This window comes from Homo sapiens, chromosome 5 (genome assembly GCF_000001405.40).
Source record: "Homo sapiens chromosome 5, GRCh38.p14 Primary Assembly".
Lineage (NCBI taxonomy): Eukaryota > Metazoa > Chordata > Mammalia > Primates > Hominidae > Homo > Homo sapiens.
The window spans coordinates 142,123,703-142,143,883 of record NC_000005.10 but is presented as its reverse complement, the minus strand read 5'-3'; the positions used below and the strand labels follow the sequence as shown (position 1 = coordinate 142,143,883).

The following is a 20,181-nucleotide window of genomic DNA, read 5'->3' as shown; positions in this document are numbered from 1 at the left end:
TAGCTAAGATAACAGGTTCATGCCCAGCTAATTTTTTAATTTTCTGTAGAGATAGGGGTCTCGCTATGTTGCTCAGGCTGGCCTTCAACTCCTAGGCTCAAGTGATTCTCCTGTCTCAGCCTCCCAAAGAGTTGGGATTATAGGTGTCAACCACTGTACCCAGCCTATTTCTCTATTCTTAGTAAGACTCTTTTTGTGTGACTACACCAGAATCTATACATTCACAAAAGTTTGTACCTCCTAAAACTGTCAGCAGAGAGGTGATATGCCCCTCCAGTGGAAACTCAGATACTCCTCCTGGCCTTCCTCTTTCAGAGATGGTCTCTGAGCCTTTAGCACATTTTTTTTTTTAAATACTTTTACTGGGATACTCAGTGGTAGAAAATGGTACTTGGACAGTTGAACTGATTTTTAGCAGTAACCAAGAGCTGTCAGCTCTGAGCTTGGGGAACATCATTCTGTTTGGGACCCAAAGCAACAAGTGACTATTGAGCAGGGGTTACCCCTTCAAATACTAAGTTGGGGTATGGTGGTGGGATCTTACTGAACTGGAAGGCACATGACCTGTATGGAGGAGACAGCAACAACTCAGCTCCAGCCAAAGGGTGCCATGTGAAATGTAGGCTAGCTTTTCTTGATATTCCAACTTTCAAGAAAAGTAAAAACATTCAGGCGTTTTATGTGAAATAATTTTGATTTTTAAAATGTTGGCAACTAATTTAAAAAAACTTGAAAAATAACTGTGGAACAAATAAACTATAGGCTAACTATAGCTCAAGAGCAGCCAGCTTGGGAGCTCTGCACAGAGCTCTGCAAGACAAAACACCATTAAACTGGTTCTCTTCAAAAGGGAAGTTCCCAAAATGACCCGAATATTGGGCACAAATGCTCATAAGTGTATCCAAACTCTTATTAATATATATATATATATATATATATATATTTTTTTTTTTTTTTTTTTTTTTTGAGATGGAATCTTGCTCTGTTACCCAGGCTGGAGTGCAGTGGCACGATCTCAGCTCACCGCAACCTCCGTCTCTCGGGTTCAAGCCATTCTCCTCCCAAGTAGCTGGGATCATAGGCATGAGCAACCACAGCCAGCTAATTTTTGTATTTTTAGTAGAGACGGGGTTTCACCACGGTGGCCATGCTGGTCTCGAACTCCTGACCTCAAGTTATCTGCCTGCCTCGGCCTCCCAAAGTGCTGGGATTACAGGCATGAGCCACCACGCCGGGCCAAACTCTTATTTTTTGCTTACAAGCAAATGGTACATAGCAAGAATGATCAATGATGAAGGATTATAAAACCTCCTCCCATGAAACTTTAAAAGGGAATCAATCCATTAAATTTCTTTAAATTATTTATGCCATAAGCAATCAATCTGAACATACGCTTAAGGGCTCCTCTTTGGTCCATTCAGGATTTGACTTGGGGAAACACGGGTGGTCAGCCTTTCTCTTAAAGGTACAGTTTAGAAAATAAGCAAGCCAAGGAACTATTTCTTCTAAATTATTCTCCTGTTGGTCATTTTTATTACTGAAGTTCTCAATAATCAATAGAGGAAAAAAAATTACTATTTCTCTTTCCTTAGAATTCTAATGACCAATCATAGAGTACATGATGCTGTTGAGGAGGTGGTAGATGGTGCGATGAATGATTTATGTTTTCTAAGTAAAATGTAGGGTCAGCAATGCAAGGCTCTGTCAGTTTTGGCAAAACAGGTCCTGAACTGTTTTGTTTTGTTTTTAGAGACACTGTCTTGCTGTCACCCAAGCTGAAGTGCAGTGACGCCATCATAGTTCACTGCAGGCTCCAACTCCTGGGCTCAAGGGGTCCTCCTGGCTCAGTCTCCCAAGTAGCTAGGACTACAGGCACAAACCACCATGCTTGGTTAATTTAAAAAAATTTTTTTGTAGAGACGAGGTCTTGCTATGTTGCCCAGGCTGGTCTTAAAATCCTGGCCTCAAGGTGAAATCCTCCTGACTCAGTCTCCCAAAATGCTGGGATTACAGGCGTGAGCCACCATGCCTGGCCCAGGTCCTCAATTTATTAAACACCTGCCAGGCATGGGTGCCAGGATGTCCTAGCCAGAACCATTAGCAGAACCACCACCAAGGATCTTAATTAAGGGGGCAACAAGAAGCAAAACAGGACATAGGAGAAACTGATGTCACAGAAGCACAGTGAGGCAATCACACCATCTTTAATAGCCACAAGATGGCCCTGTTATTCTTTTGTAGAAATGACAGAAGTGATGGTGGTCTCTCTAACTGTATCATATATATTTTCTTTACATATAATCAAGAAGCCAACATTGAAATAATTTACTCCAATGTTCATCTCTTTGTTTTAATGTCTAGGAAAAAAGTATTTAAAAATAAATATTTAGAGTAAAAAATATAATCCAGGCCAGGCATGGTGGCTCAGGCCTGTAATCCCAGCACTTTGGGAGGCCGAGGCGGGCGGATCACAAAGTCAGGAGATCGAGACCATCCTGGCCAACACGGTAAAACCCCGTCTCTACTAAAAATACAAAAAAATTAGCCGGGCGTGGTGGCAGGTGCCTGTAGTCCCAGCTACTCGGGAGGCTGAGGCAGGAGAATGGTGTGAACCCGGGAGGTGGAGCTTGCAGTGAGCCGAGATCACGCCACTGCACTCCAGCCTGTGCGACAGAGCAAGACTCTGTAAAAAAAAAAAAAAAAAAAAAAAAAAAAGTCCTCTTGCCTATTGTAAAATAGTTCTTATTCTCACCAACGGTAAACTAAAGCATTCTGGAAATCCAATGGTGGTTCTTTCAGAAGTTATGTCTAGCGAGGTTACATATTTTCTGTTTTCTACTGACAGACCCACCAAAGATGGGCCACCTGCACTTATGAGTTAGTTCAACTGGCTGCAGTAAGCGTATAAGCAATTCTGGTTTGAGTCTGTGAATGCTGTGTGGCAATAGCTCACAAGGGGAAAAAAACTGACAGACTACAGAGTCATCAGCATACCCCATTTATCACATGGGGGAGAAGAATATATGTATAGGTTAGGAAGAACCTACAACCACAAAGAAACTTTTTATTAACGTGCATGTTACTCTGATGGTAACGAAAGACTATTTTTAAGAAAGCAACATTTTAAAAATGTTTATTATTAATTGTTAATATATTACTATACAGTAATCAAGATGAACATTTACTACAAGTAATTTTACTTATAAAATTTAATGTAATGTTTTCTTGCCTTTTCTTACATTAAAAACACTTACCTAAAACAAGGAACACCCACCAGAGCCAGTACTGACCATCAAAATATCCAGGGAAATAGGTGGAAAACTAAAAAATAAGGCAAAACACTTTATAGCAGCTTAACAGACACAATTTCTCATTTTAACTTAAGGGTACACAAAATCACAAAATGCAAGACTTATTCTTTTTTTTTTTTTTTTTGAGACGGAGTTTCGCTCTTGTTGCCCAGGCTGAAGTGCAATGGCGTGATCTCGGCTCACTGCAACCTCTGCCTCTCAGGTTCAAGCGATTCTCCTGCCTCAGCCTCCCGAGTAGCTGGGATTACAGGCATATACCACCATGCCTGGCTAACTTTATATTTTTAGTAGAGATGGGGTTTCTCCATGTTGGTCAAGCCGGTCTCAAACTCCCTACCTCAGGTGATCCACCCACATCAGCCTCCCAAAGTGCTGGGATTACAGGCGTGAGCTACCGTGACCAGCAAGACTTATTTGTTCTACCAATGCCATCACTTAGCCTTTAGAATAATTTTAAAATATAAGTGAAAGTATTTTACATATTACTAGCTTGAAATGGTTACAATAAATGCAAATCTATTTCCTTTCAAGGAAAAGCAATTGTTAAATATGACAGCTTTTAGCTTTATTAACTCCTTATTTTGAAAGTATACAAAAATTGGTTTTTTTAGAAAACATTTTCCCCACATAATATTTGCTCTTCTAGAAATGTGTTTCAATAATGATCGTTTTACTTTGCCTATTCAGTGCCAAAAGCAATTATTATTATTATTAATTTTAAGAGACAGGATCTCACTATGTTGTCCAGGCTGCATTTGAACTCCTGGGCTCAAGCAATCCTCTCACCTCAGCCTCCTGAGTAGATGATACCATTGCCTTCTTTCTAATGAGGCCTGATTTTCTTCCTACTCCTCCAGCCTTGTCTTGACTTTGGAAGCTTTATCATGTATACCAGGGTAATCCCCTTCCCTTGCTGGTTTAGGAATGGGCACAGGATGCCATTCTGACCAGTGGAAATTGAGGGCTTCTGAGAAGCTTTCCTTGCTTCTCAAAGAAAAAAACAGTTCTTTCTAAAGGTGGTAGAAAATTTTTTTTTAAATAGTTCTTTTTCTTCTCTTGAGCACTGTCGTGTTTCAATGTAATACTGATACGTGAAACTGCCATCTTTTAACCCTGAGGGGAGGGGGGACCTGTGCCAATATGCTGATATGTCAGCTGTCCTTGATGATGTCAAAGAACCACTGACTTAACTAACCTTGTCAGGGACTTGTTTTCAGGGGAAATAAAATTTCCCCGTTTAAAAAAACAATTAAAAATTTTTTTCTAAGCCATTTTGAGCTAGGTTTTTGTTACTCACAGTCAAAAGCATCCTACCTGATACAAGTTAATTCATTTAACTTTTTTTTTTTTTTTGAGAAGGAGTCTCGCTCTGTCGCCCAGGCTGGAGTGCAGTGGCACGATCTCGGCTCACTGTAAGCTCCACCTCCTGGGTTCACGCCATTCTCCTTCCTCAGCCTCCCGAGTAGCTGGGACTACAGGCCCCCGCTACCATGTCTGGCTATTTTTTTTGTATTTTTTTAGTAGAGACGGGGTTTCACCATGTTAGCCAGGATGGTCTCGATCTCCTGACTTCGTGATCTGTCCGCCTCGGCCTCCCAAAGTGCTGGGATTACAGGCGTGAGCCACCGCACCCGGCCCATTTGATTCACTTTTTAAATGCAGTTGAAAATTTAGTTTGAAAAAAAAAAAAGACTGGAATTAATTTTATTTCTCTTTTCCTTGGAGGCTTTGGTGTCCAAGAGTTTAATGTAGTTCGAAAAGTAAAATATAGTATTTTCTTTGTTAATAAAGTAACAATTAAAATTTAGGGAAGGAATGAAAACCTCTTTAGGGCTCGAGTTCTTAACCTAAAGTCCATTATTATAGATGAGTACATATTAGCTATGTGGGGGAAAAGCTTACAACTTTCATCAGATTCCCAAAGGATTCTGGAACCCTAAAAACGTTAACAAATGTTTTATAATAAATAAGGTGGCACTACGTAGAAAAACTACAGTGGTCAAGCAACACCCATTAGTTAGTTAAGTATGCCAATTTATGACGGATAAATTGGTTTTGTTTATAAGGTTGACGATAGCAATAAATTTATCTGAAATCAGAGGATACTTTAAAAGCCTAGATCTTTTACAACTGTAAATTACTTCATGCAAATTTAACTAACTGGTAACTCTGAAGTCACTAAAGACATACATCTCTGTAATTTACTTGAGAGGTAGGCTCCTAATGGAGCAATACTTGTTAAACAGTTTTGGCTCCCCAAACATTTTGGCATAAGCAATCCTGGAAGGGAGAGGGGAAGAGAAGGAGAAAAGAAAAGAAGGAAGAAGAGAGCTAGATTAAAACTGTAACAGAATTAATGAGAGGAATGGCTGCTTTTGATGAGATATCAAAGGGGTAATATCCTTCCTTTTATTATAAAAACAACTAATTTCAGAACATATACATTATCATATTATAAACATTAAAAACAAACAAAGCAGATGGTGAACAATATTAATGATAGACCAGTTTTCAATAGATTTGACAACAAAACTTGTGTGCATGAACCATTTGCAAATGATTTTGGTTCAGCTTCATCATGAAACCACAGACAAACCAAAAATCATTTAACACACTGAAATAACTTTTAAAAAAGCAAATGAAAAATCGAATATTCAAAAATATTCTGATTATTGCCTCTCTGTAGAGCCCATCTTTTCTGTTATACAACTTACCCTGACAATCAGGATCCATTTAATTAGAGAGAGACCAAATCCTGAAATGGCCCCATACCTTCCTGCAGCTGAAGTGGTCAGGCAAAAAGACAGGAAAAACCCAATCCAGTTAAAGAGGAATGCCACTGCAAAAGCAGAGGAGGGGAAAGATGTTAGACATGTCCTGTTACCCAAGAACAAGAGTGCCTTACACCTGCCTCTGTTTAAATGACTTTCCAAAGGATAAAAGACAGCCTGTCCTCCACAACCGTCACCATACCTCCTCTAAAACATCCATTCTTCTGTCTTTCCCCAAAAAGCAAACAAGAAAAACTCCTCCCTATCAGGTTTTACACACTTATGTCTACTGCTAGTCACTTTCAAAAACGCCTTAATAGGCTGAGCACAATAGCTCACATCTGTAATCCTAGCACTTTGGGAGGCCAACGTTGGAGGATCCCGAGCCCAGCAGTTTGAGACCAGCCTGAGCACCACAGTGAGACCCATCTCTACAAAAACTGAAAAAAACAAAACAAACAAACAAACAAACAAAAGCCGGGCACAGTGGTGCACACCTGCAAGTCCCAGCTACTTGGGAGGCTGAGGTGGGGGGATCACTTGAGCCCAGGAAGTCAAGGGTACACTGAGAAGTGATCACACCACTGCACTCCAAATTCAGCCTGGGCAACAGAGCAAGACCTTGTCTCAAAAGGAAAAAGCAAAAAAAACAAAAAACAGCAAAAAGCAAACCTTAACATTCACCAAACTGTATACTTACAACCTCTGCTTTTTTTTTTTTTTTTTTTTTTGAGACTGAGTCTCACTCTGTCACCCAGGCTGGAGTGCAGTAGCACGACCTTGGCTCACTGCAATCTCTGCCTCCCAGGTTCAAGTGATTCTCCTGCCTCAGCCTCCCGAGTGGCTGGGACTATAGGCGTGCACCGCCAGGCCCGGCTAACGGCTAATTTTTGTTTTTAGTAGAGATGGGGTTTCTCCATGTTGGCCAGGTTGGTCTTGAACCTCTAGCCCCAGGTGATTCGCCCACCTCAGCCTTCCAAAGTGCTGGGATTACAGGCATGAGCCACTGTGCCCAGCCTTTGACCTCTTTTTTTTTTTTTTTTTTTGAGACGAAGTCTCACTCTTGTCCCCCAGGCTAGAGTGCAATGGTGCGATCTCACCTCACGGCAACCTCTGCCTCCCGGGTTCAATCGATTCTCCTGCCTCAGCCTCCTGAGTAGCTGGGATTACAGGTGCCTGCCACCACACCCAGCTAATTTTTGTATTTTTAGTAGAGATGGGGTTTCACCATGGTGGCCAGGCTGGTCTCGAACTCCTGACCTCAGGGCATCTGCCTGCCTCGGCCTCCCAAAGTGCTGGGATTATAGGCATGAGCCACCATGCCCAGCCTGACCTCTGCTTTTTACTGTGTGTGTTATATATATATAGTCCAGTAAATAAAATAAATGCCTTCAACATTAAATAAGTGCCCCCAAATAATCTGATTCAAGTCACTCATCCTCCTGTTCTCTGAATTTTGACAACTTATATAACATCACCTCTAAAAGCATTGCATTTTCTTATCTTTCTAATACAACAAATAAAGGAAATGGTTGCTCACTTCTATGTGAGGCACACAAAAAGATAAATGGCAAGTAACATGAAGGGAGAAAATCAGGCTGACTTTGATCTGTCAGAAAAAAGAAGCTTTCAGAGCAAAATTCATCAAAGGCATTTAATTCCTATTCTACAGATTAAGTATGAGTAGAAGCAACGCAAAAGGGCCCCGTAGACCTGGAAGATGAGGCTTAGCTCATGTAAAAATGCAGCATCCTCATAACTGCTTTAATTATATTTTCCACAGATATTCATGAAAATAGAAGGCAAAGAGAAGGGATATTAAAACAAAGGTATATTAAGCTTTGAATATTCCAGTAAAAGGCACCAAATAAACATAATGTATTAATATATTAGCTCAACTAGTTATTTTAATTCAGTCAGATTCACCCATAATCCAAAGCACTCTAGTTTGTAGGGGGTGGTTCTGATATGCATACATACTTACTGAAAAAAGTTAACATGAAAATCCCATCATTTCCTATCCTCAGCTGGTCAGCATCATCAAAATCATCCCGACCCACAAAATCCTCATCCTAAATGAAAAGAAAAAGAATTATTTCTAGGCAAAGGGAAGACATAAAGAAAAATGAAGGGTTAAATTTGAGTAGCAAGGAAAAAAGTTATTGCTTTGGTTCAGTTCAAAATTATGAGCATTAAAGGCTCAATGTGTGTTTAAAATTCCATTTTGCATTATTAATATATAATTAGAAAAGAAGCAAATCTTTCTTCTATCCCCAGTGTTCTAAATGAAATTTTCATCTTATAACCCAAGTTCTTTAACAATACACTTCAAAAATTTAATACACTTCAAAAACAATACACTTCAAGAATAGTTCACAAAGAACTATTTACTCTTCCTTTAAAAAAATATACCTCAAGAAAAGACAAAAGACAAAATTTACTTACACATTTGGTTTAAATTCTAGAATATCAGTAATCGAGGACCTGTTTAGGACCTAAAATATTAGTAATTAGAGATAAAATCAGCCAGGTGCAGTGGCTCATGCCTGTAATCCCAGCACTTTGGGAGGCCAAGGCAGGCAGATCACGAGGTCAGGAGATCGAGACCATCCTGGCTAACATGGTGAAACCCGTCTCTACTAAAAATACAAAAAAATTAGCCGGGAGTGGTGGCGGGCACCTGTAGTCCCAGCTACTCGGGAGGCTAAGGCAGGAGAATGGCATGAACCCGGGAGGCAGAGCTTGCAGTGAGCCAAGATCCCACCACTGCACTCCAGCCTGGGCAACAGAGTGAGACTCCGTCTCAAAAAAAAAAAGATAAAATCAACCAGCTCAAGTGCTTTACGAGGCTGATATAGGGGAAAAAAGAATAGTACGATCATACATGAATAGTCCACAGAACTGCCCACTGCTCAACTCCATAAGCATGTATTTGTATTGGTATACAGATCTAAATCTCACTTCTAACCTTATCAGCAGATAAGATCTTTTCCATCCTAACTTGATAACGTAATATTGCAAAACTAGAAATAACATGATCATGAACAATACCAACACATGTGGGCTATCTTTTTAACTGATATAGGTGTGTGTTGAGATATTTAAAAATAATTGAATATATACTTAAAAGTGATAGATTTGTACACAGTTCAATGAGGGCTCCTTAAATGAAAAATATTTTAGGGAATATCAAAACTTGTTGTACACAGAAAAGGGTCTGGAAGACCCAAATTGTTAACAGTGGTTCCCCTGGGGAGTGGGAACTAGAGAAAGGGAAGTCGGTGGCAATGGCAGCTTCCTTTTCTAACTTAACATACTTCCTCTATTGTTTGAAATTTCTATAAAAACGAATTTTTATAATTAATTTTTTAAAACATTAAATACCTAGTATTCTTACTTCGTATCAGCAGAATAAGGTTTTGCCAAAATTAAAAGCTAATTGTTTTTTGCATAACTATTCAAAGATATACTCCAAAAAATATATGGAAGTAACATCTAATAATATTACGAACACCTTCTAACTGTTCTTCCTGTCCTCTTGGTATCTCTTCTACCATGATGCATCCTAGAAATTGCTGCCAAGTTAATGTTTCCAAAACACCACACAAGTCCTCTCATACCCCTGCTCAAAAACTCTGAAGGATTCTCTAAAAGCTACATATGAAGTTTAAATACGCCCATCTAACATTCCAAAGATTCTATAAACAACAGTTGTAGTCAGGACTTTCTATCTCCCTTCACAAACTCTTGCTCATACAAAGCCAATTACTACATCCACAGAACTGCCTTCACCTGGCTGAATTCACACCTGCTTTCTGTGCCTTTTTCCCTCTGGAATGTTCTTACCCATCAAAACTCCGGGCCCACATCAAATCTCATTTTCCCCTATGATCACCCAGTAAAAAGTTTCAGTTCTTGATGCCCACTGCTCTTATGTGTCTTAGTTATCAGTATTTGTGGGCCCTTTACCCTAGTTGGATTTTAGGCTTTTGAATAACAATGAGGAACACTGCCTTATACAAAGCTTTTTACCTATCCACTGTAAAATATACTGCATCTTATATTTAAAAAGTGCTTTATACATGTCTGCTGAATACTAGAGCCCTTTAAGAAGTTCCTAAATATGTACTTGTATCAAATGAAAGTATTCTGAAGAGTTATGTGATTAATCAGAGCTAATTTCCATACTGATCTATTTACCATATATTGCAACAGATCTGCAGAGTACAGTGAAACAAACAAGGACTTTGGATTCTAGAATATCTGGGTTTGACTTTCACTTCTGCTACTTATCAGTCATATGACTTTGGGAAAATTACTTTTTCTCTCTGGACCTAAATTTTCACATCTGTAAAATGGAGATAATATAATCTCTACCTTTCAAGGTTACTATGAAGATTGGAAACAATATACAAAATATATAAAAGCATCAAGCACAGTACCAAGCATGTGGTTTGCTTCCAATATACGGCAGTTACATTATGATGGTCTTGCCCTTAGACACTAGGGTTTTTAGTTTCTCCCTGGTACCTGTAAGAACTGAATGCACATCATCGCCATTTAGGATCATCCTAGATTGGGCTCATAAACTATTTCTACCAAGCAATGATTTTAGGAGCTTCGCTCCTCACAGTAGGTGTGGTCTGCAAACTGTCTACTATCTTAAAGCCAAGAGGGGAACATCTGGGCCTATGCCATCACACTGCCCAGACTAGGCTTCTGTACTTGCTCATCACTCACTCCAGTTACTTGCTAGAATAGAGCCTAGAGGCCTGATGGTCCCCGCATTTCTGGGGACTTATCCTGCTTCCATTCTCCCACAATGCCCTACCTTCATCAGCCTCAATCTGGATGAATATTTACAAAATGACAAATGCAGCACTCACATATCTGACATCAAGAACCAAGAGTGCCCAATAATCTCCACTGGTTTATATGGCATCCCAATCTCCACCTCCATGAATCAACATCAGGCTAGATGGAATCTGAACTCACTATGTCCCCACAAATGACATGATCTGGACTGCTGGAAGAACGGAGTTCATCTAAATCAATGTGAAGATCCCTCTTATGAGTTTAATTCTACAAATTTGCATATATTTATTCTCTTCCTAGACCTCCCTAGCAGCTATCCACCCAACAGCAAAATATTAAGTGTGCAGAATCAAGGAAACATTAGTGTGCTTCTGCTTCAAGATACTTCAGCCATCCCAGGAGACTTGAAAAAGTAGTGGTAATAGGAGAGATGAAGGAAAAATGAGCAGGTCTGACTAGTAATTTACCTCATCATTTTTAAGAAGAGATGAGTTTATTATCCCAAAAGCAAATGTACCTGATTTTTAAAATTAGCTCTACTTTCACTAATCAATACAATCATAAGTAACGAATCAAAATTGGATAATGAAAATAACTTAATTCCCACAGAGCAGCCATCAAGTAACATGGCAAATTATACTCACTCTCCCAGGAACCAAAGGGATAGTAGCTTCAGCCTTGGTCCTCTCCGCTTCATCATAACTGGGCAGTGTTGTAGCTACATTGTAAGATGGGGGCTTTGGAAACCCAGACTCATCCTTGTAGTCAAAATATGCTGCAGAATTTTAACAGTCACAATTTTTTGATGATTAGCTGAATTGAAATAAAAGGAGTTCCACTAACTCTAGCAGACAAAACCCAGCCATTCCCTTAAGAGTACATACATAACAATTGAACCAAAAGACATTCTTAGATGAATGTAAGAGACTGGGGGTGATTTTTAAATGTATCCACTTCTCAATTATTTAAAATCCAGACTTGCTTTGTAACCTTTCTTCCAACTGCTTCTGAAGCTTTTTTTTTTTTAAACTGTAATGTCAAAGCACAGAGTGTTTTTAAGGATTCCGTGATCACCTTGCCCTGTTACCTACCTGCGCTCTCTGCAGAAATGCTGCTGTAAGGTGGAGGAGCATCACCTGCAGCCTGTTCAGGTTCTCCAGACTCTTCTTCATTCTGCAACTAAATAAAAATTTCATATTTTAATGTAAGCATAAAGCCAATTAGAAAGATAAGAACCCAAAAACTGAAATAAATAGCCTTTCTCGAAAGCTATTTGGCAACGTATTTTGAAAGCCTTGAAATGCACAAATCCTTTAAGAAAAGTATTCTACTCCCAGGAAGTTATTCTATGGAAATATTCAAAGAGGCAAAATGGGTACATATAAGTGTTGTGTCAGCAAAAATTAGAAACAACCTAAATTCCAATCATAGGAGACAAATAAATTATAGTACATCACACAAAGGACTACTAAACGGCCATTAAAAATTAAATTTTGCCATCCTGGCCAACATGGCAAAACCCAATCTCTACTAAAAATACAAAAATTAGCCAGGCATGGTGGCACACTCCTATAGTCCCAGCTGCTCAGGAGGCTGAGGCACAAGAATCGTTTTAACCCGGGAGGCGGAGGTTGCAGTGAGCTGAGATGGTGCCACTGCACTCCAGCCTGGGCAACAGAGTGAAACTCTGTGTCAAAAAAAATATACATTAAATTTCAGCCAGGCATGGTGGCTCACACCTGTAATCCTAGCACTCTGGGAGGCCTAGGTGGGTGGGATCGCTTGAGATTAGGAGAGTTTAGGAGTTCAAGACTAGCCTGGGCAACATGGCAAAACAAACCCTGTCTCTACAAAAAATACAAAAATTACCCGGGAGTGGTGGCATGCACCTGTGGTTCTAGCTACTCAGGAGGCTGAGGCAGCAGGATGGCTTGAACCCAGGAGGTCGTGGCTGCAGCGAGCTAAGATTGTGCCACTGCCCTCCAGCCTGGGGCATGAGAGAGACCATGTCTTTAAAAAAAAAAAAATTAAATTTCATTACTCAAATAGATATTTACAGTGTACTATTATTACATGAAAAAAGCTAAACTTGCCAAACAATAGGCATCATATAATCCTTTTTAAAAAGGCAGACATATAATGGAAAGGAGGCCTAGAATGAGACATTTACAGTTCAACACTGTTATTTCTAGGTAATAGGAGTACAGGGGAATTTTTCCTTTTTGTTGTGTATCTGCATGTTCAAATATTTTGTAGTGAATATTTATCACTTGCATACTTTTTTTTTTTTGGAGAGACAGGATCTCACTCTTGTTGTCCAGGCAGGAGTGCAGTGGCACAATTATGGCACACTGTGACCCTGGCTAACTTTTTTTAAAATTTATGTTTTGTAGAGATGGGGTCTTCCTGTGTTGCCCAGACTGGTTTAAAACTCCTGGCCTCAAGTGATGTATACTTTTTTAAAGTTAGAAAAATAATCTGTTAAGACAAAAGACAAATCACAGACAAACCATGTTACCATTATATTCCACATGCACACCAAATTAAATCTTAAATAATTGAGACACTTATGAAAACATAAAATTCTCCCTAATTCTACATATATCTGTCAATAGATATCCCTTTTCCCTATCTCAGCAACTTTTCTGCCAGTCAAATCTTCAATTTTTTAAAATAACTCGCACTGAAAGTGTCTGCTGTTGCTAGTCTGTATAGTCTACACAAGTCATCTTCATAGAATAAAGACATTTCATTTGGTTTTTCCAGTCCAGTGTGACAATGAACTATATTAATTTAAAACATGAGTTGGCTGGGACTAGGAGCCAATCTGAAAATTAATAACAGAATATTTAGTGATATAACTGACGTAGGGGTCTGGTCCTGGCTTCGGTATCATCAGGATATACAGAGCCAACTGACATACTTGTAAAATACATACCACCTCTAAACCATACCGCTACAAAGAACTCTATCTTGAATTGAGACAGAAAAACAGAGAGACCGAGGTGTACTAATGTGAAGTAGAGCTCCATAATCCATTAAATTTTCTTTCTTTCTTTTTTTTTTTTTTTTTTTGAGATGTAGTTTCGCTTTTGTTGCCCAGGCTGGAGAGCAATGGTGGGATCTCGGCTCACTGAAACCTCCACCTCCCAGGTTCAAGCAATTCTGTTGCCTCAGACTCCAAGTAGCTGGGACTACAGGCGTATGCCACCAGACCTGGCTAATTTTTGTATTTTTAGTAGACGTGGGCCAGGCTCGTCTCAAACTCCCGACCTCAGGTGATATGCCTGCCTTAGCCTCCCAAAGTGCTGGAATTACAGGCGTGAGCCATTGTGCCCGGCCACAATCCATTAAATTTTAACTGATCATCTCAATCTCCACTCACTATGCTGTTCAAAACCAGATGTCAATAAATTTTTCTGACTAATACTACAAAAGCTTCAATTTCAAATGAATTCTTGTGTCAAATTCTCATCAGCATCTACCATCTGGGTACATTTTTTCGAATCCTAGTAATCTAATGTTAAACTTAAGGTACTCCCAAAATAGCTGTATTATAACCTAAGATAATTTTTCCTTTTAAACAAAGACATGTGGCCAAAATAGGTGCAGTAAAGCCAAATGCTCCTGGGACACCGAACTAGGAATTACTTAAATAGAGTTCTTGGGACCATGGTTCACCTAAAATACTGGTTTTAACATTATTTGAAGCTCTTGGCAAGGTATTCTTAGCCTCCTCACACCTAACCACTCTTGTGCTGTGGGAAGGTCACCAAAAGAAGCAGAAGAGTCAGCAGCAAGAACAAAGGCAAATACAGACTTTTCGAATATGTTCCCTTAATATACTGTAGCCAGTAATGAACTTCATTTAAACCTAGCTTGGTTTATACTTAACCCGTTTTATATTTCCTGAGCTTGGTGTCAAAGTAATCACGTTACCCCTGCATAATTTAGGTCTCAGAAAGGAAGCATGACAATTCTAAGAAATACAGAAATCCAAAGAACAAAGAGGTTAAGAGGTCTTCTATGACAATATTTATAAGATAGGCTGCCTGTCTCCTGGAAACTTGGAAATGTTAAATTTGATCATCCCCCACCATAGTAAAAGATGACAGTGCAAATAAATTCCAGCCTTCTTAGAACCACCAATTTTCACTTTGGTAAGGAAAAAAACACTTCCAGGTGAAGAGTTTGCTCCACTAAAATTCACTACTTTAGAATAGTGTACTTTTTTCAATTGAAAAATAAAAACAATTTAAAACACCATTATGACTATGGTATAATCCCAAGACCTCACTGTACAGGCTTCTCACTCTGGCTTATTTCTATAATGCTGGTGATAAGATTAGGCTCCATCAAGAAAGCTGTTTAAAACAAAACACTGCAATGTAGGGGGATCGCGGGGAGAGGCAATCACCTTCAAAAAGAGTAAGCACTTAGTGCCTGCCATCTGCATGCATAATAACTTGCTGAACAATGGAATCCTTAAATATACATCTTTTTACACTTCAGGGGCAACAAGTCAGGCATTCACTAACAAGTGGAGGAACCATGTGCGCTAGAACTAGAGTGTGCTATAAAATTGATTACTTGGTTCCAAAATTTATTTTTAAGATTCCCCTTTTCCACCCCTGGGAACCCTTCTGTGCAGCCTCCCTGCCATGTCCCTGGAGCTCAGGGATCTTCGGGCTCTTTCCTGACACTTTCTGAAAGAATACGCGGCATTGTCACGTTTGGGTTAGAGTTGGAAAGATGCTCAGTCTCTTCCATCAACTGGGTCAGTGGAAGCCCGAGTCCAATTTAACTGTCACAGAATCTGGGTTGTAGGGGATACTCAGAGAGACAGATCTGAAAACTGGGACAGATCTGGGAACTTCTGCTCTCAGTGCACAGAGATGTTGGGCAAGGGTAGGGGGGATATCCTTTGAGTGACTGTGATAGATAATAAATAGCTGTTGGACACTGGATTTTTTTTCCTGTCATATAATTTCTGACCAATTTTACTAAACTTCAAATATGATTTATTTTTTTGAGACAGAATCTCACTCTGTCACCCAGGCTGGAGTGCAGTGGTACCATCTTGGCTCACTGCAACCTCTGCCTCCTGGGTTCAAGTGATTCTTCCGCCTCAGCCTCCCAAGTAGTTGGGATTACAGGCATGCACCACCATACCTGGCTAATTTTTGTATTTTTAGTAGAGATGGGGTTGTGCCATGTTGGCCAGGTTGGTACCAAACTCCTGACCTCAAGTGATCCGCCTGCCTCAGCCTCCCAAAGCGCTGGGATTATAGGCGTGAGCCACCATACCCGGCTGAAATATGATTTAAATGGCATTTTTTCCAAATACAGCTATACAATTACCTACACAGGCCATACAAAGTAGAGTTTAATACAGAACTACCTATAACTACCTATGCCTCCATCGCTAAGAAATAAATAATCCAATCACCTGAGAATTCAGATGACCTTTCACTTTCTCACACCCAGAGTGTGCCATTACTCTTTTCCTGATTACCTTTGCTCCCTTCTATGTGCTGAGCAGACTAGAATGGCTCCCCAGAAGAACCCTAAAACTCTTCCTACTTCAGATATGTCACAATCTGCCATGGTGCCTTTGGCCTTGATGACCTTCAATTTTAAGAAAACATTTATTTACAAATAGGTGCTACTAAGGTTTTGTTCTCAAGTCACACCTGTAATCCCAGCACTTTGGGAGGCTGAGGTGGGCGGATCACTTGAGGTCAGGAGTTTGAGACCAGCCTGGCCAACATGGTAAAATCTCGTCTCTACTAAAAATACAAAAATCAACCAGGTGTGGTGGCATGCACCTGTAGTCCCAACTACTCGGGAGGCTTAGGCACGAGAATCACTTGATCCGGGGAGGTGGAGGTTACAGTAAGCTGAGATCAAGCCACTGCACTTCAGCCTGGGCGACAAAGTGAGATTCTGTCTCAAAAATAAATAAATAAATAAAATAAAATAGAGCGTTTTTTTTTCCCTCCTTATCACCTTCCTCTGTATCTAGGTCCTATTGTTATTAAAAATAAATATGACATTTTTATGAATCTCCAACACAGAAATCATATATAGTTCTAATTCTAATAGAAACAAACTTGAATTTAACACGTTTAAGACATTATACCCTACAGATTTAAACTATTATTTGAGTTCCCAATCAGCAAGAAAGCTTCACCACCGCCCTCCTCACTAAGCAGTTCTAAAATGAGTTGTTTTTAAGCAATAGCAGAGCTGGGGCTAGGATTAGGGCTAAGCAAGGGGCAACATTTATAACTGTAGCAAATGGCAGGACCTAAAGGCACTTAAAAGTCATTCTTGGATTATCTATATTTACTAAGAATGAGAGAACAACAAAAAACCCTACACTAAACAAAACCCATAAATCCTTATATATGAGAAAAGGTATCAACATACACCTCAGAATTCATACAAACAAACAAACAAAGCACGTGAAAAATAATGCTGAAGTATCCAGTAAGTCCATAAAGTTGCAAGTATTTTCACTACTTAATTTTTTCTTGGTTTGGTCATATTTAAACAGCAAGAAAATTCTTGTAAGTTTCAAGTCCCTTCTTTAAGTTATTAAAAATAAATATCAGAAAATTCTGGGTCAATGCTTGAACTCTAGTTTTGAATGTTATTTACTACTTCTATCTTAGAGTTAATTGCTAAAACTTTTACCTTAAAATGCAATTTTTAAAGCTCTCATTACCAACCCACTACTTCTGCATAGTCCCTAAATCCTACCAAAACAAGGCAGTATAATTACAAAAAGTAAACAAGCACATTTCTTTTGGTAAACAGCTGAGTATGCTATTTTACTGCTGTTCAGAAATAATCATTAAGTTTGTGTGGCCTGTACATTTACTTTATATATTGTAAATATAAACTCTGTTATTCTAACATCACCAAATTATTTACATTCAAGAAAAATTCTCTATCTAATTGTTATTAATTAGGGGAAGATATTTTAAATAATTCTGACAAGATAAGAGAGACTAAACAATAAAAAGGCAACCCAATTATAAAATGGGCAAATGATTTGAACAGACATTTCTCCAAAGAAGATATACAAAAGGCCAGTAGACACAAAATGCTCAACATCATTAAGTCAGCAGGAAAACGCAAATCAAAACCAAGACTCAATACCACTTCATGCTTACTAGGATGGCTATAATAAAAAAGACAGACAATAACAAGTGCTGAGTATGTGGAGAAACGGGAACTCTAATACACTGCTGGTGGGAATGTAAAATGGTACAGCTGCTGTGGAAAAGTTTGGCAGTTCCTCAAAATAAGTTAAACATAGGCTGAAAACACAGTGGCTCAGCCTGCAATCCCAGCACTTTGGGAGGCTGAGGCAGGAGGATCACTTGAGGCCAGGAGTCTGAGACCAGCCTGGGCAACACAGCAAGATCCTGTCTCTACTAAAAATTTAAAAATTAGCCAGGCATGGCGGCACACCTGTGATCCAGCTACTCAAGACGCTGAGACAGGAGGATCACTTTAGCCAAGGAGTTCAAGGCTGCAGTGAGTCCAGTCTAGTCTGTTGCTCAGTCTGAGCAACAGAGTGAGATCCTGTCTCAAACAAAAACAGCAACACAGATTTATATTAACATCAAGCAATTCCACTCCAAGGTATATACCCAAGAGAACTGAAAACAAGTTCACACAAAAACTGGTACATGAATCTTCACAGTAGCATTATCCATAATAGCCAACAATGTTCATCAACTTACGAAGGGATCGACAAAATGTGGCTTATCTGTACAATGAAATATTATTCACCCAGAAAAAATGAGATACTGACACATGCTGAAATATGGATGAACCTTAAAAACATTACAGTACAAGAGGCCGGGTGTGGGTAATCCCAGCACTTTGGGAGGCCGAGGCAGGCAGATCACGAGGTTAGGAGATCGAGACCATCCTGGCTAACAAGGTGAAACCCCATCTCTACTAAAAATACAAAAAAATTAGCTGGGCGTGATGGTGGGCACCTGTAGTCCCAGCTACTTGGGAGGCTGAGGCAGGAGAATGGTGTGAACCCGGGAGGTGGAGCTTGCAGTGAGCCGAGATTGCGCCACTGCACTCCCGCCTGGGCGACAGAGGCGAGACTCCGTCTCAAAAAAAAAAAAATCTTCAAGTTGCTCATAGGGAGCCAAAAAAAAGAAAAGAAAAACCCACCAAACCAATTACCAGAGTTAGACTATCCTCAATATCTCCCATGGAAAAGATAAATGAAAATCCTCTCAATAGCAAAATGAAAACACATTTAAAAATCAAAATTTGCCAAAGGAAAAACTAAGTAATCAGAATAATGTTTTAAAAAGTCAATACAATAACAGATGAAAAGAATACCCTAATTTTGCAGTAAATCCCCTCACAAAGCTAACCGTTTGTAAAGCTTTCTATTTAAAATTTTTGTGGTTATCATCACTGTTAATATGTATCAATATAACTGATGAGTACACCTTGGTTTTGAAAGAGAAAATTATTTATGTTAGAATGAGTCCTTAGAAATGAAAGCACAAATACTGTGACCTATGATCATCAATTTTATGGTTTTCTTCTGATCTTCCTATTCTTTACATAGGTCCAAGTAACAAGTGAAGGCATGCCATCCAAAGAGAAAGGCAAGGAACTAGCAGAAATCAACCCTCATCCCCGAAGGCACTAATTAGCCAACCATGGTTATGGTAGTAGCACTGCAAGGTTTTGGGGTGGCACCAGAAAATTATCATCAACCTGCCAACCCCTGGGATCTGTGTCTGACATCCAAATATTTCTAGTACTGATGGCTCCACCAAGATATTATCAAGCAAATAATCCTCTGTTTTCTGGCACCCAGCTTGAGGAAAACCTACAGCCAAGAGCCTTTGAGGTTAACGGTAGGTCCTTGATGGGTCATGATCTTACAAAGACTACGGAAATAAGGAGCGACAATTGTTCAATATTTCCAAATAGTTAATAGCAAGTCTAGCTGCTCATGAACATATAGCATTTTAAATTAAGAAGTAGCATCTACACTATTTATAACCAGTCCATATCCTCAGTAATGTGAGTTCTTTTTCTCCACTTCTTGGTTCCATAAGAAAATTCAGGCTTAGCTCAGAGCTCCAGGGCCCATTTGAGAAGGATTTAAAGCCCTAGAGAAAGACAAGTTGAAAAGGAGACTACACACCTGGCTCCCTGACTTTGACAGAATAGCAGGAACTGGTCATCTTTTGTTTACAGAGTAAACAATACTAAAAATAATGGCTGTA

At 39.4% G+C, this 20,181-nt stretch overlaps 1 protein-coding gene across 1 annotated transcript in view; it reads right to left on the bottom strand.

The window, feature by feature from the left end:
• Window positions 1-20,181, bottom strand: part of NDFIP1 (Nedd4 family interacting protein 1) — a 45,662-nt gene that overhangs the window by 10,557 nt on the left and 14,924 nt on the right. Inside the window, exons 2-6 of the mRNA NM_030571.4 lie at window positions 11,989-12,076; window positions 11,542-11,672; window positions 8,067-8,154; window positions 6,026-6,150; window positions 3,255-3,321 (exon numbers count right to left, since the gene is read on the bottom strand). Coding sequence (NP_085048.1) covers window positions 3,255-3,321; window positions 6,026-6,150; window positions 8,067-8,154; window positions 11,542-11,672; window positions 11,989-12,076 — 499 coding nt within the window. The remainder of the gene's footprint in view (window positions 1-3,254; window positions 3,322-6,025; window positions 6,151-8,066; window positions 8,155-11,541; window positions 11,673-11,988; window positions 12,077-20,181) is intronic.